We start from the raw sequence: 21,695 nt of genomic DNA, 5'->3' as shown, positions 1-21,695 counted from the left end.
TCAGACATAGTATCTAAGCATTAAGAAGGCACGGCCCTAGTCATACTCTTGTTTCTTTGGGCTGGATGAAGGCATGTAGGCTTGGCTGCCAATAAAGAGTCAAGTGGGAGAAACTTAACAACATTGCACGTTTCACTTTTCATTATTCCCCCGAAGGTATCTGCTGTGTTTTCCAGTGACTCAGCAGGTGGTAGTGCCTCCGTGAGGCCTCTGACCTTTCCACTAAAGGGCTACGCTTCAGACTTGTCAGCTTCTCATGTTAGGTCTTCTGCAGCTTTCTTGGAGCTTTCTTCCAGAAGACAGCTAGTTGGTTGGCAAATCTGGTCAATTATCCCAGAATATAATAGCTAAGTTTCTTAATTTGCATTCCATATAACACTAGTACTATGAGGCACTCTACAAAAAGGAGAATTCCATGGCCAAATAATCCTAGCAAATCTCTTGGAGTGGCACTTTAGCATGTTAAAGGCTTTGAGAAGATCTGCATTGCAAAGGTTTATTGATTTAGTTTGTTCCATTATTTTCCAAACGTATTTCACCATGGAACTCCTTTATTTTCAAGCACCATTCTAATAGAGCTAAGAGGCCAATGTCTGTGAGATATGATTTCTGATCGGTTAAAGCATGGGAAAATGGCTGCTGATAATATACGTCAATTGTAACAAACATCCTAATTTCAGAGACATTAAAATGTGAAAGCTTGTGCATCTTAGTCTTAGTTAAATCCAGCCATACAAAGTCACTTCCCTTGGGACTAGGGTTTTGTGGAACACCTGCGGGGAACTGCTGAGCAAGATGGCTCTATTTTAACAGGGGTGTTCTGGATATGACCAAACATGGGCAAGGTGGTAGAAAGGGCAGGCAGTGGAGGCACTGGAGGGGAGAAGGGATTTCCAGCAGCTGCCACTGCTCTGTGTTCAAGAGGACTGGCCTGGGAAGGAAGGAATGATGTCTTCATTGCCAGCAGCCTGGGCTCTGGTGGGCAGAAGAGTGTGATGACTCCAGTCCCCCGAGAAAGAGCCTTCTGGCTTGCCAGGTGAGAGGTATCATGAAACAGAAGAAGGTGCATATATGTTGTCATCAGGTGGCAGGGGAGGGGTGGTGGTGAAGAAGCTGATGGGAAGTGGTGTTGAGCCCCAGCTGTGCCCTATTGTGGTGGTGTGAATTTGAGGAAATATATATATATATACACACACACACACACACACACACACGTACATATATATTTACACAAATTTCTTTATATATATATATATATATATTTTTTTTTTTTTTTTTTTTTTGAGACAGAGTCTCACTCTGTTGCCCAGGCTGGAGTGCAGTGGCATGATCTTGACTCACTGCAGCCTCTGCCTCCTGGGCTCAAGTGATTCTCCTGCCTCAGCCTGCCAAGTAGCTGGGATTACGGTTGCATGCCACCATGCCTGGTTACTTTTTTGTATTTTTAGTAGAGACGGTTCACCATGTTGGCCAGGCTGATCTCGAACTCCTGACCTCAGTTGATCCACCTGCCTCGACCTCCTGAAATGCTGGGATTACAGGCGTGAGCCCCGCACCCGGCCAGTTGAGGGAGTTTCTTAAGCGACCTGAACATCCATATCTTAGTACATCAGTCGAACTACCATGATGATAACGATCAGACAGATTCTGTTTATGCTGTGTATAATAGAAAGCTGACTACGGTGGTGGACCCAAGTAAGGTCTTTTTCTCACACTTCTCAGGAAGTCCAGAGGTAGGCATTTTGGGGGGTGCTGGGAACATCTGTGACTCAGGTTGCTTCTTTCTTCCTGCTGCTTTCTCGAAGTGAAGCTTTTGTCTTCACACTGGCCTCTTCGTGGCCACACGATGGCTGCTCTACCTCCCACCTAACTCTGCATTCCAGGCAGGAAGGGAAAAAGGGGAAGCTCCTATACTAGGAAAGCAAAGCCATTCCCAGAAATCTCCAGCCAACTTCCAGCTAGAACCCCCTGGCCAGCATCTTAGCTACCAGTCTGATCAGACAAGCATTAGGGGGCACTTTGCCACCGTGAACAAAATTGGGATTTGTCAGAAAGGAAGAAGGTGAATGCAGATACTGGGTCCGTGCCTAGTAGCATCGGCCACAAATGTTGGTCGATTACCGGGCTCTGGGAGGTAAGAATGCGCTAACACACACAGATGTGCCCAGCTCTGTGCCGGACACAGAATGGACCCGCTACAGATGCTCTTCTTTCCACACCTCCACCCTGCTGATAATGTTTGATGGCTGTCCCCATCTTCATGGTTGGAAAATCTGTTGTAATTTGTGGTTTTACCACAAGGGGGCATGTAACCAGGAGGGAGTCAGAATCTTGGCTGTGCAGCCTTTGGTCCAACATGCACAGTGGAGGAGAAATCGATTGGATGTTTTGCAACAGGAAGCCCAGGGTGGACGCCAACTGGTAACTGGGCATCCAGACACGATATTGTGTTTCGTTGGAGAAAGTCAGTGTCTGGGCTAAAGTCCTTCCCCGACTACCCAAGTGGATTGCTCTCTTGTCCTCTGCGCTCCCAGAAGGATCGCTACCTAAGTTATTTGCACGGCTTTATGACATATCTTTGTTATTTCCCCGTGTTTACGTCCTGTGTCTCCGACCATGCTATGAACTCATTTAGGACAAGTCTGGCTTCTTGTCCCCTTTGTCCATGCTGTCCCTACCCCTGATCCTCTGACAGTCCAGTGCCTTGGGAGCCAGCCAGGTGAGCACCCTACAATGTACGCAATCCCTGCCCCTGCCTGACAGAACTCACATCTAAAAAAAAAAAAAATTGGGAAATAATGGGTCAAAGTAATGATCAGCAGTGGCTACTCACCTGAAAAAAAAAAAAAAAGCAACCATTTATCTTGTGCCTTCATAGAAGTACACACCTTTGATGAATTTGTCAAAAAATCAACCCTGAATCCAATCAAGCTTCTAGATATAACCACCAATTTACAGGACATAAAGGAGAGGAACATGTTAAATGATACCACAGAAATGCAATTAGCAAGAACCAGACTGTGGGAAACCCTACAGGACAAAATGACCCAGTTTCCTCAACAAATACATTGCCAGGAATCTAACAAATGTGGAAGACAAGCCCATAGATTAAAAGATGTTTAACAGAGATATCAACCAGTTGTGATATATATTTTATTTGGTTCCTGATCTGAACAAACTGTAGAAAAATATTTGAGGCAATTAAAGAAATTTAAAAACGGACATTGACCTTATCTATCTCCACTCCTCTTCAAATATAAGTTCCTAAAGTGTCCAGTTTACAAGTCAATTCACTCCTGGACAATCTAATATATATTTTAAACACTGGCCTGACTGAGAAATTATGTTTTTTTTTAGGTGTCATAATGATATTGTGATATGTTTTTTGAAAGAGTCCTTATCTTTTAAGGATGCATACTGAAATATTTTAGAGATAAAATGATATTAGGGATTTGCTTTAAAATAACACAGTATGGATGGAGGGGAATGGCTGGTTAATTCATTACAGATGAATTAAGACTAGCTAGCCAAGGACTCATGGTTGTGGAAGCTGGATGACAGACGCATAAAAGATCATTGTCTTAAACGCTCTAACTTTTGGTTATGTTTGAAATGTTCATAATAAAAAGAAAAGAAAAAGCTGAAAAAGGAAGAATCACTGGGCTAACCAAGCCATACCCATGGCTGACAGAGGTGGATTTACTATGGAACTGATGAAATGCAAGTGTGTGAGCCTGTCACCAGAGCAGGCCCCTCCCAAGGGAATTGTGCATTCATCATTTTTCTGAAGGAGGGCTCCCCAAATGGTAAAAGCTTGAGGCCTCACAAACCTTCCATCTACCCTTGATGGCAGGCAGCTGATGGACTCCTGCTTCAGACATTCAGTGAATATTTGCCGTTTTTGTTTGTTTATTTTTTCTGACAGAGTTAGGATCTCATTATGTTGTCAGGCTGGTCTCAAACCCCCGGGCTCAAGTGATCCACCCACCTCAGCCTCCCGAGTAGCTGGGACTACAGGTTTGCACCACTGTACCTGGCTAAAAGCAGTTGATATTGAAGATTTTCAAACTTACACAAAAGTAGACACACATCATATAATAAACCTCATGGGCTCTTCCCCCATTTAAGTTCTCAACATTTTGCTATAGTTACACCTTTTTTCTCCTCTTCCTTTTTCTTTTTCTTCCTCTCTTCCTCTTTCTTCTTTTCCACTAAGTAGTTCTGTTTCTCCATTTTCTTTCATAACCTCAATATCATTATCATACCTAACAAAATTAATAATTCTTTAATATTATTTAAGACTGAACCCATGTTCAAACTTTCCCAATTGCCTCAAAATGGTTGGTTCTTAAGCAAAAATCTCCAATCAATGTCCGAAACATGAAATAAGAGCCATTAATGAATCATCCCTCTTTTTGCATTAAACATTAGCTTAAGTCACACTTTCCTCCTCCACACCAGGTGGTACTGTATGAAAATACTAAGGTTGACCTTTTTGCAAAATGTAATTGTGCATGTAAATTTAAAATGGTTATATTTATCAATGGCTACTAATGGTGAGTAAACAAGGTATAAGCATGTTAGCTGAAAGAAGAGCTTATTTGAAATATAAATAAGACAACTCATGCATTTGCTCTCTGTTCCTTTTTTCTGCAAATAGCCTGCACTCTGCTGTTAACAGTGACCTTTCCTTCTAGCCCTGTCATTCTATAATTATCTAATATGTTATGTGTGCTTTGCATACTATGTAGACTATACTACACAGAATAGAATGCATATTGTATGCAGTCTGCTAGGCTTACTACCTTTTAATAGTTTACTAGGCATAAAAAGGTTAAGAACCAATAAAGGGCATGCACGCTGCATTAGTCAGCTCTCGCTGTCATAAAAAATATCACTGACCAGGTGGCTTAAAACAACAGAAATTTATTTTCTCACTGTTCTGTAGACTAGAAGTCCAATATCAAGGTGCCAGTAAATTTTGTTTCTGGTGAGGCCTCTCTTCCTGGCTTGCCTGACGGTGCCTTCTCGCCTTGTCCTCACATGGCCTTTCCTCTGTGTGTGTGCTCACATGTGCAGAGAAAGACAGCTCTCTGGTGTCCCTTCTCCTAAGGACACCAGTCCTGTGGGATTCGGGCCCCACCCTTATGATCTCATTTAAACTTAGTTACCACCTTAAAGGCCCTATCTCCAAATACAGTCACCTTGGGGATTAGGGATGCAACATGAATTGTTGGGGGGACACAATTGAGACAATACCGTGTGCAATGCACACACACACACACACCCTTAGGATAAGAGAGAATGAGGAGGAGAGAGGGGAGATGCTCAATGCATTGAAAATGAGGTCTTTAGGGACCTTATTAAGCACACTGCCTCTATGGCATATAGAGAGTAAGCCACATATTAAATTATCCAGCAGTGAATTGACTTGTAAACTGGACACTTTAGGAACCTGTATTTGAAGAGGAGGGAAGATAGATAGGATCAATGTCATTTTTTTTTTCTGAATATATATGTATTCTAAGGAGAGTGAATAAGTGAGTGGGGGACATTGACTGATACTGTATCTGGAAGGAATCTCAAGAAATCATCTGATTTAATGGTTGAAGGTAAGAATCAGTTCTGATGAAGAAGAGGATCACTGATTCAGAATAGAAAGGGGATTGCTTTTCGGAGACTGGTGAGATGCTGGCACTGCAGAGAAATGGGTTAAGGGAAGGTCAGGATTTTAGAAAAGGATACAATTATGTGAAGCTAGGAGTGGCTGGGAAGCCTTCATGTGACTTAGATCATTTTCAAAAGATGACATCCATGAAGTGACTGAAACAAAGGAGGTGACACATGGGCTGTGGGGTTGGAACTACAGTGTCATCTGCATTCTTTGACTTCCATGACTGTCTAAATTTCTGTGCAAATGCAGAACAACAAGACCCTGGACTGTTACTGGCAAGTTGAATGTGTGGGCGCCCTGCCACCAACCCTCAGCTTTCTGGCCAGAGATGTGCTGAAGGGCTCTTCTACTGTTTTCGCTGTGGATAGACATTTATCTTCTGCCTTTCAGAAACCACGCAGGAGATGTGCCTTGCTCAGGGTTTCCATGGGGCGGGCTGGGGCAGTGAGCCAGCCAACCTTTGAAATTGAAGAAGCACAGAAGGCCCATGCCCTTGGGCCGTACTAGTGATCTCAGCAACTGAGACTGAGTTTGATCCTCCAAGCATCTGAGAGATGTTTTATTGTGTCGGTTCCTGGAATAAAGGGAGTATCTTTTTGGGACAAGCACAATAACTTTTGAAAAAGTGCAGGAAAATACTTGCTCCAGAGCTGTTAGGTTTAAAAATGAACAACATGTTGAGAAATCTTTAATTTCTTGAACCTCTGTTTTAAAAAAGAAACCTCCTGATTTTAGAATTCCTTTTGTTGACAAATTAGACTTTGGAATTGTGTGAAGGAAGAACTTTTGCTTTTATTCAAGAATTCATATGTAATTGTCAAGAACTTTGAAGGGGTTGAGATTTTACCCCACTTGCAAGCTAACAAGTTAGCTATTCCAAGTTAGTTTCATGGATAGTGGGAAAAGACGTGAGACTGTTGAGTCAGGGAGATGGTTTATTATCTGCAGCCATAGCAGTAGATAAACTGTCAGCGTGCTTTAAAGAATTTATACTGGCGGCCGGGCGCGGTGGCTCACGCCTGTAATCCCAGCACTTTGGGAGGCCGAGGCGGGCGGATCACGAGGTCAGGAGATCGAGACCATCCCGGCTAAAACGGTGAAACCCCGTCTCTACTAAAAATACAAAAAATTAGCCGGGCGTAGTGGCGGACGCCTGTAGTCCCAGCTACTTGGGAGGCTGAGGCAGGAGAATGGCGTGAACCCGGGAGGCGGAGCTTGCAGTGAGCCGAGATCCCGCCACTGCACTCCAGCCGGGGCGACAGAGCGAGACTCCGTCTCAAAAAAAAAAAAAAAAAAGAATTTATACTGGCTCCCCACGTCTCAAAAGAGTGATTGAAGAGGGTCAGATTATACATGCAAATGCAGTGGGTTGCATTTTAGGACAGGAATTCTGAGCTTAGGGGACCTGAACAAAGGGCAGTAAGCATGCACGCCCTTGATTTCAGGATTACTTATTATCTCTATCTTCCAAGGATGTAGGCAAACCTACCCTTTGCTCCCAAGGTACATATGATCTCTGTTTTCAAGTTTGTTCACTACAGAAACATCCTTCAAAAGATAGGCCAGAGCAAAGGACAGGCAGTGTTTCTACTCAAAATATACAGAAATGCAGCCCGGCATGGTGGCTCACACCTGTAATCTCAGCACTTTGGGAGGCTGAGGCAGGTGGATCACTTGAGCCCATGAGTTCAAGAACAGCCTGGGCAACATGGTGAAACCCAGTCTCTACTAAAACAAACAAACAAACAATACAAAATTTAGCAGGGCATGGTGGTGCGTGCCTGTAATCCCAGCTACTCAGGAGGCTGAGGTGGGAGGATCGCTTGAACCGGGAAGGTGGAAGTTTCCCTGAGCCGAGATCTCGCCACTACACTCCAGCCTGAGTGATAGAGCAAGACCCTCCCTCAAAACAAAAACAAAAACAAAAACAAAAACAAAAACAAAAACAAAAAAAATACAGAAATGCAAGAGATCCACAGATAATTATATCCCAACAGTAATATGTCATTTAAAACTTAAATTCCTAATAAATTGAATGAAAATGAATAGTTTTACTGTACCTTATTTTCAGTTGTGCCCCAAATCCTCTCTGCAACTCCCCCTTTTTTGAAAACAGTGGTCTTGAAGAGTTTTCTGAATGTCTTATCATTATTGATGCCCCTGGGCCAAAGAAACTTCTTAAACACTGCCGGAGTCTTCTGTATACCGTGGTTTCTGCTTTAATTGTTTCTACCTCAGATTCCTTCTGGCTTAAATATTTCCTCTTTCATGCCTCTGTCCAGGTGACTACCTGCTAGTTATTACCTCTTCTCCACTCCCTGGACTCAGCAATGTTTTCTATCTTCCTACTCCCAACATTTGGTTATTCTGGGTTTCGTGTCATTTGCTCTTGCCTACACGATTTATGAAAGAAGACAAATCCTGACCTTGATCAACTCCACTCCTGAATGCCTTGGCCTCTATCACTGCATAAAGCTGGAAAGAATCTTAAAAGCTGTCTGGTCCAACCTGCTCATTTTACAGATCTGTGGGGCTCTGTGGTCAAATGAACAAAGGAAATACTAAGTTTAAAAAGTTAAACAGGTGCAACCACTTTGGAGAGCTGTTTGGCAGTTTTTATAACATTGAACATATATACCCTATGGTCCAGCAATTTCACTTCTACATGTTTACCCAAGAAAAATGAAAACATATGTCTACAAAAAGACTTACATAAGAATGTTCATACCAGCCTTACTCATTATAGTCAAAACTTGGAAACCACCCAAATATCCATCAACAGGATAATGGATAAACAAATTATGAGATATGTGTGTATATATATATATATATATAATCTCTCTATATATTACAATATAGATGTATATAATCTATCACACTTATTTACATACACAATGCAATACAACTCAACAATGAAAAAAAGAACTACTAATATACACAACAGCATTGACACAACTAAAATATCTTCACACTGAGCAAAAGAAGCAAGCCACACAAAAATACATGTGGCATAGTCCAAGAACAAGCAAAGGCAGATGATGCTGATGAGCGGTAAGACAGTGGTTGTCTCTGAGTGCGGACAGTGGGTTGGCTGGAATCGGGCATGGAGAAACTTTCTGGGGTGATGGAAATATTCTACATCTTGTTTTGGGTAGCAGTAAACTGAGCATTAAACTCTCAAATATTATTGAGTTGAATACAAGACCTGTGCATATGTTCATTCTACCTCAACTATATATTAAAAAATTAAACATTTCTTTACTCTGCGGCTTTCCAGAGGATTTAATAAGCAAATATGTATTGTGCATCTTTAAGAAGGAGACACAGCCTAGAGTGTTTTTTAAACGTGTTTGAGGAGGGGACATTATTTGAAGGAGCATCTCATGGAACAGGAAACACTGTAGAGGAGTGATGTTTTCGTTCGAATATTGACTTTAGAGCATCTCACCAGGACTATGTTTTCTGCTGTGATTTCCTTCCTTCTGCTCAGCCTAGAGATGGACTGCTCGTGCCAATCCATGGGGCAGGGGGGCAGGGGGATGAGGTGCCTGCTGTGGCCCAATTCTCCTGCCTTCCTGTTACCAGACTGGAGCCCTCCATTGGCACCCTGCCCTCTCTAGGCCACTGGATCACCACCACCTTTGCCTGCTGTCAGAGCTAAGAGACCCACTTGGGCATCTGCTGTATTTGCAGAATTGTATCAGTCACACGGTTCATTTATTCAGCCATGGGTGCATGCATTCACTTACTTACAACCTATATCTCTATGAGTGCCTCCACATGTCTATCACTGTGCAGTTCCCTGGAGACACAAAACTGAGTAAGGCATAATGCCTGCCTTAAGGGGGAAAGAGTCACACAAACACAGTTTTGCTTTTTTTTTTGAGATGGAGTCTCTCTCTGTTGCCCAGGCTGGAGAGGCGTGATCTCGGCTCACTGCAAGCTCCAGCCTCCCAGGTTCATGCCATTCTCCTGCCTCAGCCTCCTGAGTAGCTGTGACTACAGGTGCCTGCCACCATGCCTGGCTAATTTTTTGTGTATTTTGAGTAAAGATGGGGTTTCATCATGTTAGCCAGGATGGTCTCGATCTCCTGACCTCATGATCCTCCCGCCTTGGCCTCCCAAAGTGCGGGGATTACAGGCATGAGCCACCGCGCCCAGCCACAAACACGGTTTTTAAACAATGCAGAACTGCAGTATTAGAGCAATGCCTAAGGTCTTATTTTTATTTTATCCCTTCTCCTGCAAACATGCGATTCTCTTTTCCTCCTATGGGTCTGCCAAAGGCGAAAATAAGAATACCAACCACCTGATACAAAAGGACAATTATTACTTTGACCAAAAGGATATCTGCTGCAAGAGAAATACTCTAGACATCAGTGGAGTGGTAGGGTAGTGCAGCAGGTAGGGGCTCCAGGGCCTGCTGGGGCTTTGCTGCACATTTTGGGGTGCAGCAGCTAGGAAGGAAACACAGAAGTGGGTGCTCCAATGATGAGGTGACACCTAGATATATAAGTCCTGATCTTCATAAGTTCAATGGTTTTTTTTCTTATCTTGTTTCTCAGGAGGGGCGAAGGGAGGTGAGCTTTATAGATTTTGTAGAAGAGGGCAGTCCCACAAAATGCCTCCTGACTTCTTATTCATTGTTCAGCTCAAACGTGTGATATTTTCTGAGCTTGAACTGGCAGTGGGGCAGGTGGGGAGGGTAAATTCAGCTGTGAGCTGCACACTCAAGGGCAGCAGAAACAACCGGGCATTGGCCTTGTCAATGACCTTCACAAGCAGGTGTCCAAGGAAGGTGGTGAAGTATTATTCAGTATTATTTAGACTAGAAGGTTCTTAGAGAGGAACATCTCTTGTTTATTGGCCTAAAAAAAATTAACATGCAGCAAGATTGACCTTGGGTGTGTGTAGAATTCTACGCCTTTTAATGAGTGTAGAGAATCAGGTTGCAGAACAGCTTCATCACACCAAAATGTCTTCATGCTGTCCCATTTTAATCACACCCTCATCCCACCCCGAACCCTAGCAACCACTGATCTATTCTCTGTTGCCAAATTTTTATTTTTGAAATTGCTATATAAATGAAATCATTACAGTACATAACCTTTTGAGTCTAGTTTCTTTCACACGAGGTAACTGTCTGTAGATCTTTCTTTAGTAATTCTTCTACAGCACGACTGCTGCCAAAAATTCTCTTATTTTTCATGTATCTGATAATGTTCTTATTCCACCTTCATTCCTGAAGGATATTTTCTTAGAATATAGAATTCTAGGGTGACAATTTTTTTTCTTTCAGCATTTTATCATCTTGCCTCCAATTGTTTTAGATGAGAATTCCACAGTCATTTAATTGTTCCTCTATAAATAGTGTGTTGGTTTTCTCTGACTGTTTTAATATTTTCGGGGCTGGTTTTAGTTCTTAGCAGTTTCATTAGAATGTTTGGGCATAGGTTCCTCTGGGTTTGTCCTGTTTGGAGTTCACTGAATTTCTATAGGTTTGTGCTTTTTGCCAAATTTGGGAAGTTTCCAGTCTTTATTTTTTGAGTATTTTTCTGTACCACACTTTTTCCTGTCCTTTTGGAGCTCTGATGACACAAATATTAGGCTTTTGGGGAATTGTTTCACAGGACCCTGAAGTTCTGGGTGGTTTTTAATTTTTTTTTTAATTTTTACTTTTCTCAATCTTTATTCTCTTTGCTAAAGCTTTCTAGAGTGTTGGTTCTTACTTCTTAGAGCACTTTTATAAAAGTCGCTTTAATTTCTTGTCAAATAACTATCACATTTGTGTTTTCTTCATATTGACATCCATTGATTGTCTTTTCTCTCATGAGTTGAGATTTTCCTGGTTCACATGGCGACTAGTTTTGAAGCATATCATGAGCATTTTGAATATTATATTATGAGACACTAGGTCTTGTTTCAATCTGTACAGGTTTGTTCATTTACTTATGTTTTTTTAGCAGGCAATTGACACAATTGGTTTAGACTGCAAGTTCTGATCAGCTTTCTGTGGTTGTGGTTGCAATGTCAGTTCTATTTTCAAAGTCACTGTGGTCCTGTTCACGTTTCTCCTGGGTGCCTATTATTTCATGGTCAGGATGGGACCTAGATAGCGATGTAGCTGTTAATTCAGTTCTCAAAGTCTCTGTTATGATGTTTGTGATCAAATCCAAGAATGCACAGCTCAAGGGTGTGCCCACAAGCCAGCAAATAACTGTCTGGGTTCGTTTTCCCAAGCTCCTTTCTCTCTACCATCTCCCTGGCACTTTCCAGTTTCCCAGGATTCACCTTTTTGGCTATCCATCCAGAAAACTGGAGCCTTATCACCCTGCTCTTCTGTGCACTCACTGTGACTCTGCCCTGTCCAGGACCAAGTGGTGGGAGCCCAGAGAAAAGAAAAAGCATGGTCTTGGGACCATGATTCCTTTGACTGAAGAGGAAGGTCCCGCTTCGACAGCATATTCTGTGCTGTGGGCCTTCCATGCTGTGGCTGCCACTGCCAGAAGACTCTTCTCTCACCTTGAGTCTGAACTAGAAGGTTTATGCTGGAACCCTCCCTGTCACAAAGGCTGCCTTGAGTCCTGTCCAGGGAATACAGAGGGTAAACATGGTAAATCCACAGTCAATTGGTGATACTTTTGAATTCTGGTTTTCTCCCACAATCTACCTGCTACTGTTTACTTTTTCAAGAGTTCTCAAGCAGCTGCACCAAGCATTCTGTCCAGGTGTTATAGATATATTCTATGGGAGAACCAGAACCAAAACCTGTTCCTGGATTTTTGCAGAGCCATTTCCCCAGTATCTCCTTGGTCTGAGATCTGGGGACATTTTCCAGGTTGCAAAGGTAGAATGGATACATCATCCTGAGAGTTTATGATGGCAATTGTTAAATATGTGAGTTTGTATGTTCATGTGTATATGAGTATTTATTAAGTACTGAAAATAGACATTGCAGGTGAATTCAGGCAATATGAAAGCTACAAAGGGGAACCAAATCCTTGTTTCCAAACTGGAGTGGTGGTCACCTCCTCATGTTCCTAAACCACTGCAGAGGGGAAGAGAGCTTTTTCCACCTGTTCAGCAGATACAGTACTGTAGGTAACAGCTTGCCAGCAGACCTATTGTTCTATTGGGCAAATATAATATTCTAGCCATGGAGCTGTCAGCTCTGCATCAACTTGCAGGTACCATCGAAACCTTTTTTTCTTTTCCTTTTATTCATTTCTTCTTCCTGCCCCTTGTTATGGAGCAATGTGATGTTAGGACACACATGATTAGATCTAGGTAACAGAAAGTGATGGGTGGAGTGTTGATGAAAAGGAATGAGGTTCTTACGTGTTGTAAATGTTGTGATCCAGGCTGGGGCAATCTTTAGGTTGGGGGTGGGAGTTGCAGTGCAGAAAACCCTTGATTGATAAAGATATAGATGTGCTTGCCAATGTCACCCAAGGGATAAACAGCTTGCCCGCCATAAAATCTCATTAGTCCTGCCAGGTGAATGAAGAAATGTAAAGATGTGTGGCCCCAGTCTAACTAAAGCCATCATCTCAAGAATGTCTCAGCAGTGTGTTATGGGTCTGTTTGAAGATTTCAATTTACCTGTAGTAGGTTTGCTTTCTTTCTTTCCACTAGAGGAAAACATTCAGCTTGTTTTATTGTTTTGGATTCATTTTCAGAGGACCAAAAATATCATAGCCCTCTCTCCAAAAAAAAAAAAAAAAAAAGTAAAAATACCAACCGTTTGACTGTCCTCCCCAGCACACACACAATCTTAAAGGAGATTTCAGTTTGTGCAACAATGGGTCACTTTTGTGGATGTACAAGTTGAATGAGATAGTTGTGAATTCATTTGTGGTGGAAAAACATGCTGAGAATTTGAAAATGTCTCTGAAGAAAAGACATTGTATTATATTTTCCTTTTTGACATATTTGGTGAGTATAAGAAACATCATCAATTCTTTCAACAAATGTTTACTAGGAACCTCTGAATGCACGGTCAGTGTTAGGAGCTACAAGAGATGTAGAGGATACACCAAGAGCAAGGGCCTTACTCTCTCAGAGCTTCCAATCTGCCTGTAAAGACGATATAGTTGTAGGTGGTGTTGTCTGAGTGTTCACTCAGTTGCCAGGTCAGAAAGCTTGGCCAAGCTTCAGCTTCACTGGTTCCTCACTTCCCATATTCAATTGGTTGCCAAGTCATCTTGATCCTATTTCCAAAATGCTTCTCAAATTTACTTGGTTTCCCTCCTCCTACTGCTGCTGCAACTCTATCAGGCTTTCACTTACTTCAATTGCCCAGATCATAGCAATTTCCTTCTAACCAACCTCCAATCAAGTCATGTATCTGGTCATGACTTTTCCCTATTCAAAATTTTTTCATGGTTCTTTATTATGTCCAGAATAAGGCCCACAGCTCCTTAGCACATACATTATTCTGGTCCAAACTTCCTCTTTCATGTCTGTCTTCCACTGGACCTGTAACATGAGGTGCTCTCTGAGAAGACCACGGATTTGCCCACTCCTATGCCTTTGTTCTTGTTATTCTTCTGCTTATAGTCCTCTCCTTTTTTTTTTTCTGCCAAGCAAAATCAAACTTGTTCTTCAATACAAGGTCAAATGCTGCTTCTTCAGTGTGGCCAGTCACCGGTTATAGCTCCCATTTCTAGGCTCCTGTAGAACTTTGTTTAGGTATCATTTATTCATACATTCATTTGATGTATTCATTAAGTAATACTTTATTACTGGGCAATAGACTAGCTGCTGAGAATGCAAAGGTAAGACATCATTCCTGGCCTCAAGGGACTTAGTCTAGTGGGGAGATGAATTTGAACATAATAAGCATATGCAATGAGAAAAGATAGTGGTTATAATGGATGTGTGGACAAAGGTGTGTGTGTGTCTATGGGAGGTCCAGCAGAAGCAGCCACTAAATCTGCCTAGAGGAACTTCCATAGGACACAGCATTTGAGCTGAGGCTTGGTGGTCGGTTAGGGTTTTCCTGGTAGACAAGTAGAGGCAGGAGATTTCAGGTAGAAGAGCACAGCGAAGGCACTGAACCATGCAGAGCAAGGCACCCGAAGAAGGAGAGTCCACATTCACAGGTGCAAAGCGTGAGGGCAGCTGTAAGGTTTGTAAGGCAGCATACAAGACAGATGCCGAAGCAGAGGCTGTGTGACTCCATCCAGAGACGATGACCAGGGAGGGGTTCCTGCAATGTGTGGGAGGTTAGACTAACTGCTGGGATTAGATTCCAGGAACAAAAGCATCTCAGAAATATGTGTGCTTAAAAAAAATGTAGATAAGGGCTGGGCGTGGTGGCTCACGCCTGTTATCCAAGCACTTTGAGAGGCCAAGGTGGGAGGATCACCTGAGGTCAGGAGTTCAAGACCAGCCTGGCCAACATGGTGAAACCCCACCTCTACTAAAAATACAAAAATTAACTGGGCATGGTGGCAAGCGCCTATAATCCCAGCTACTCGGGAGGCTGAGGCAGGGAGAACTGCTTGAACCTGGGAGGCGGAGGTTGCAGTGAGCTGAGATTGCCCCACTGCATTCCAGCCTGGGTATCAGGGAGAGACTCCGTCTCAAAAAGAAAAAAAAAAAAAAGTAGATAAGTCTGTTGGAACCATTTTTAATTTAAAGGGTACTCTCGCTCCCCCAAATGACAGCAGTACTAATCATATAGCAACATATTTGTTTCTGAGTGCTTAGACCAATATGTGAATTAAATTAATTCTTCCCACTCTTTTTCACTACCTTCTCTTTATCTTCTTTCTTCCTTTCCTGGGAATTACTGTAAGATAGTACTTATGGTATATATTTAACTGATGTTGAATTTTGACTGGAAATAGTAAGTCTAAAATCTAAAAATAATTAGAGGAATATTCCATACCTATTACTATAAAAATCAACTAAATCTATCTTATTTTTAGCCATGTGACTCTTCATTATGTTTCTGCTTCCCACCCGATGTGGACTACGGCTCACACACAGGCGTGCACACACACAGAGCTTCCCCGTTGCCGATATAAAACACAATTGCTAGATTCCTAGCCCCATCCCCACTGATTTGGGAGGAGGCAGGTGAAGCTCAAGAATGTCTAACACAGGCTCCCAGGTGACGCCCAGGCTGCCAATCCGGAGACCACTCTTTGAATCACATTTCTCTACGTGCTGCTATCTCCATTATTAAACTCTAAACATATGGATTAGAGAACACTAATCCATATGTTACTTGCTGAGTTGAAAGGCATTTTAAGAGGTTATCTAGACTAATCATCACTTTGAGCTACTATCCAAGGCTACTCCAATGAGGTGCCAAGTAAATGCAGTTAAATGTAGTTTCAAGTCCCCGTCCTCATAGAGATAGAACTTGGTTGTTCTGGGTATCACATTTTGTTAATCTTGCATAAGAAACAATCCCGTGACACAGTATATGTTATCACGCATATAACAAATGACACATGAACTTCCAAACCACAGTAGTTAATGCCTGGGGACAAAGGTAACTGGCTAATTGAGCTTCTTTAACTTGACTTTCAAATAATTGCCACCTCTCTGTATCCTCAACCATTAAACCTATTTATTTTTCTCATGAACTTTACTGAGGACTGATTTAGGTACAATAAGTTGCACCCATTTAAAGTGTACACCAGTCTAACTTTTAAAACTACTAAATTACTAATGACTTATTAATTTAAAATTATTCATCAATATGAGTAAAAATATTTTTAGAAAGCCTACACAACTGGAAAATACTACATGCTTTTAGAAGGAGGGAGACATATGATTTTCTATTTTTGGAATCTATCGGGTACACATGATAGAAAGGCAAGTGGGAGTAAATGGAAATCAGGATGAGACTGTCCACAAGGACCTTGGAAAACCTTGGAGGTGCATCTGGCATCTGGTGCTCCTGAACTTGGCTTGGTGTGCTCAGATAGCAAAGGCTGCTCTGGGAGGATTTGGGCTGTGAGAATGGAGCGAAGGGGATGAGTCTTTGTCATGCTTTCACGGCTGTCTGTCACTTCCTTTATGTTCCCAATGTCCCCACCCTGGTAGGCCCCGTCTGAGTTATACCTAGATTATTATTAAAAACCATCAGCGTTTCTCCTTGACTCCTGTCTCTCCCCATATAAACCTATATTGCATCTGTGTTTATGCCACTTTCCAACTAACAAAACTTCAGAGACTCTCAGGGTGAAGTCAGAATCTTCCCTCTGGCATTTGAACCCCTCAACTGCATAACCTGTGCCTCATCCACCGATGTCACCTAATTTCAGAGGCAAATCACCTGCGGCAGATGAACGGCTCTGTTGACTTGCTCTTACCTTCATGTCTTCCTGCCTGCTGGAAAATCCCTTCATTTTCCTTACCTTTATTTCATGGTCCAAATGAAGTTCTCTATCAACTTCATGCACACAATGGAGACTTGATTCCCTCAGAATTCCCTCTCCCCATTTTTCTAGTTCTCACCTTCTGAACTACTCGTTTTATACATAATCATGAACTGCTTTGGATTTGTGTTTAATAGTTCATGGGCATATGTTCTGTCTCTCAAGTGGAATATAAACTGCTTGAAGGTCAGGGACCATGCTGTGGAATACTTCTTGGATTTTAGGATTGTTAAGTAATTACAGTAATAAAAAAGATACCTTAATGTATAACTAAATGTCTTGAGACTTTCCACATAAATCCATGAATCTGAAAACAATCTTTTGTTAGACCATGTATCTTGTTTTTTTTATTTTAAAAATATGCTATTTTTATAGGCACTAAGGGAATGCAGAGTAGTGACAATAATGATGAACATTTATTGTGTTTTTACTGAGTGTTGTGCACTTTCCTCAGTGCTATGCTGTGCCTTAATCCTCCTGACAACACACAGAGACTGGTGCTATTATTATCCCCATTCTATAGCCACGGAAACTAAGGCACAAAGGGTGAAGTCATTGGCAAGGTCAGAAAGCCAAACTTGAGGGAGCTGGGCCTGGTGCCCACCAGCTTAACCACAGCACACACTGCAACTCATTCATACGAGAAACACACGAAATGTAGGCTGTGTTGAGAAATAAATAGCAGAATTGTAATTAGGGGCCAGAGGAAAAGGGTGTGAAGACCATGTCAAGATTTATGCCTGTGAGATGGTGAGTAGGAACATGTCCTCTCTGTAATGAAGGTGTTATATTCTAATAAACGCAGGAGAAGGAAGAGTTCATTATCGGTAGGATCTATTTTTAGATCCTTTTTCTTATGTCATTACGAAGAAAATATAAAGTCTCCCATTTGATTGCTCTGTATATGACAGGTCTGATCTTTTTTTTTTTTTTAAGATTCTCTATCTAAACTGTATTTTCCTGAGTGTTTCCATTAAAAATCTCCTTTTCAAGCCCAGCAAATGTTTAATCTTTTCTACTTTAATAGCTGGAAATTCTCCCTTGGGGGTCGTAAGCTCTTTAAATATTTTTAGGTTGCCAGATTTCTTCTGTCGGCTCTCCAGGAAGCCAATTTTGTTCCTAAGAGTAGTCCAGCTCTGTCCTTTGCACACTCACTGCATCACAATAAAATGCTGCCTAATTACCGCCTTTGTGGGATCCCAGAGGTGTATTTGTCTCCAGGCTATTGCTGCGGACTATAAACTCTTCTCAGATGAGAGATAAACCTCTTCATTATTTAAGCCTCCAGGTCTGGTAACAGGAGTTTACTCCATACAAATTGTTTCCAGTCTTGTAAAAGAAGTGATCAAATGAGACATGCAACTCACCTTGAGATAATTTCTAAAGGGAGTAGTTAACAGAATCTTTCTTCTGGGTGGTGCCCAGTTCGAAAGGGATACTGAAAAGTCAAATCCTTTTATTATCTTGTGTCTTCATTTCTAGTTGGAGAAGGGAGTTGAGAGGTAAACAGATGAGGAAGTGTTACTTCTCCTGCGAAGACATAAAGTCTAGTATACTCTAGTGGATATTTTCTTCTAACTATGGCTTCTTTAAGAAATTTGAGTCAAATAGCTAAACCTATGTTTTTACTAGAAACTATTTTAATAGATAATATATTTATATTTATAAAATAAATGTATGCTTATTTGGCTTAACCCTAAAGTGAAACATCATATAAAACATGTATAATTTGTAGACACATTGGAATTCAATGGAAAAATACATTATTAAATAATGTATGATTATTTCCTTATTATCCATGGGGAAAATTACAGAATTGGCCACTCGTCGGCTACGTGCTTATCCTCTGAGATTTTTTTCTTTTAAAATAGGAGGTATTCACTTTTCTAATCACCGTGAATAGGAAGTCCTGTGGAATGTTTTCAAGGGGAGCTTAGTGGAGGAACAGTGATGGGGATGGGGGGCTCTGTGCTGCTCAGATTCTCGCTGTGTGCACCATCTTATCTGTCAACAGTGGCAGTTCAGGAAAAAGGGCAGCTATCTAAGTGATGGTGGCATTTAGAATCTTTGTGGTTTGAGCTCTCAGTCCAACTCTTGGATTTCTCTCCCAAGTGACCTCAGACCTATTTGACTTACGTACTACATTTCTGGAAAAAGCAGATGGATTTTTCCAGAACCACAAGCTGTGTTCTTTTAAAACTGTGATCACTTTCAGCAGCCACTGAGATGTACAAATAGTCCAAAGAGCAGTGGTTGCCAACCTTGGCTGCATATTAGAATCACTTGGGAAACTTTAAAAAAATACTGGTGCCCAGTTCCTCCCCACCAGATTAAATTTTAATTGGCCAGGGTGGGACCTAGACACCTGCATGTGTGAAGCTCCCCAGGGGATTCCAGTGTGCTACAACTTAGAGAATCACTGCTCTAAAGACATGCTGAGAAGAAAGACCTTCCCCTTCCCTCACTGGCTGGCTGCTTGTGCACCTTTAGACATGGTAGCAACAGGGGTGTTATACAGGTGATAATAAGCTGCAAAATTACTGAATGGCTGCAATGAAAGGCACTGTCAAAGCAAAGAGGTTATAACGAGTATTACTCTTATTATTTTATTAGAAAACATTGCTAATACCAGACATCTATGGATTACCAGCTCAGTTATGAAGCACTTTCACATATACCACCTTTTTTGTCCTCATAGGCACCCTGTGAGGCAGAGAGGGAAGGTATGATTATGTACATTTTTTTTTTTTTTTGAGATGGAGTCTTGCCCTGTCACCAGGCTGGAATGCAGTGGCCCGATCTCGGCTCACTACAACCTCCACCTCCTGGGTTCAAGTGATTCTCCTGCCTCAGCCTCCCGAGTAGCTGGGACTACAGGCATGTGCCACCACACCCAGCTAATTTTTTTGTACTTTTAGTAGAGACAGTGTTTCACCATATTAGCCAGGATGGTCTTAATCTCCTGACCTTGTGATCCGCCCGCCTCGGCCTCCCAAAGTGCTGGGATTACAGGCGTGAGCTACCGCGCCCGGCCGATTATGTACATTTTTTATAAGTGAGTAAATGAAGGTCAGAAGGTTGAATGGGGCCAAACCTGGTGGCTCATGCCTGTAATCCCAGCACTTTGGGAGGATCCCTTGAGCCTAGGAGTTCAAGACCAGTCTGGGCAACACAGCAAGACCCGTCTCTACAATAAATTTAAAAAATTAGCCAGGTGTGGTTGGCACACATCTATGTAGTCCCAGCTATTCAAGAGGCTGAGGCAGAAGGATCGCTTGAGCCCAGGAGTTCAAGGATGCAGTGAGCTATGATCGTACCACTGCGCTCCAAACTGGGTGACAGAGTGAGACCCTGTCTTTTTTTTTTTTTTAAAAAAAAAAGGTAAACGACATGTCCAAGATCATACACCTTAATAGCTGGCAGACTTGGGGTTAGAGTCCAAGTTTTTTTGTTGCTATTCCCTTTCAACAAATTGGCACTATTATACCTTAGAATCCCAAACAGTCCTAGTCAGTTGCTGTGTGATCCACAGTTGTTTAACCTCTGTGAACCTCAGTTTCCTCACCTACAAAATGGGTATAATACTTGTACCTATTTTACAAGGCTGCTCTGAGCTCAAATAAGCTGAAAAAAGATAAAGCGTCTCACAGACTATAAAAATAGATACAAATATAAGCTGTTGCTATTATTATAACTAGTAGGAGAAGGCAGTAGTTTGAGAGAGGTCATGTTATTTATGATGCTGTTATCCTGCTCTTAGGATTTTAAATTAAGCCCAAAACAAGGAGAACATATCTTATTCTTTTTAATATAGTCTGCATTTGTTTTTGACCTAGTTTGTTTATTCACTAATTCAACATCCAGGGTTGCAGAATTGACCTGAGCAGACCAGGCTTCCGAGGGTCAAAAAAGCGTCTGAAGGAGAGACACTGAGTGCATTCTGGGTTCACATTCCCCTCCTCTACTGCATTCCTGAATTTTCTGCCTCACAGCGGCATCTGAAGCAGTGGCTGTATGTGTCCTTAACCACCCTTCAAGTCCACAACATGTCATATTACCTCATTTTGGCTCCCTGGGACTATTTTGGAGGACCTGAATTAGTCATGTGGGGTACTTGATTAAAAATCACTTGAACAGCCCTTTTCTTTTGCTCAACACTGGGTCTCTCTGTTTGAGAGCAGACCTGGGTTAGAAGAGCAATGCCTGAGGTTTCTCTCGTAAGAGATGAAAATAGGGAATCAGTTAAGAAAAAAAGGCCGGGCGCGGTGGCTCACGTCTGTAATCCCAGCGCTTTGGGAGTCTGAGGCGGGCGGATCACAAGGTCAGGAGATCGAGACCATCCTGGCTAATACGGTGAAACCCCATCTCTATTAAAAATACAAAAAAATTAGCAGGGCATGGTGGCAGGCGCCTGTAGTCCCAGCTACTCAGGAGGCTGAGGCAGGAGAATGGCGTGAACCCGGGAGGCGGAGGTTGCAGTGAGCCGAGATCGCGCCACTGCACTCCAGCCTGGGCGACAGAGTGAGACTCTGTCTCAAAAAAAAAAAAAAAAAAAAAAAAGAAAAAAGATGAAAGAAATGGGTTCTTTAAATCTCACTTTCATCATTCAATCCACTGTCAGT

At 42.1% G+C, this 21,695-nt stretch overlaps 2 long non-coding RNA genes across 2 annotated transcripts in view; one reads left to right on the top strand and one right to left on the bottom strand.

Annotated features, from left to right (window-relative positions):
• Positions 1–19,829, bottom strand: part of LOC124903145 (uncharacterized) — a 29,426-nt gene extending 9,597 nt beyond the window's left edge. Inside the window, exon 1 of the long non-coding RNA XR_007063742.1 lies at positions 18,441–19,829. This is a non-coding gene — a long non-coding RNA (uncharacterized LOC124903145). The remainder of the gene's footprint in view (positions 1–18,440) is intronic.
• LINC00427 (long intergenic non-protein coding RNA 427) lies at positions 17,669–21,202 on the top strand. The gene is made up of 2 exons (NR_186618.1): positions 17,669–17,823; positions 20,938–21,202. It is a non-coding gene; the product is annotated as a long intergenic non-protein coding RNA 427 (long non-coding RNA).
• Positions 21,203–21,695: the final 493 nt, after the last annotated feature.

The sequence above is a fragment of the Homo sapiens genome, chromosome 13, assembly GCF_000001405.40.
Source record: "Homo sapiens chromosome 13, GRCh38.p14 Primary Assembly".
NCBI lineage: Eukaryota > Metazoa > Chordata > Mammalia > Primates > Hominidae > Homo > Homo sapiens.
Note: the sequence above shows the minus strand (reverse complement) of the source record. Positions and strands in the feature narration are given on the sequence as shown.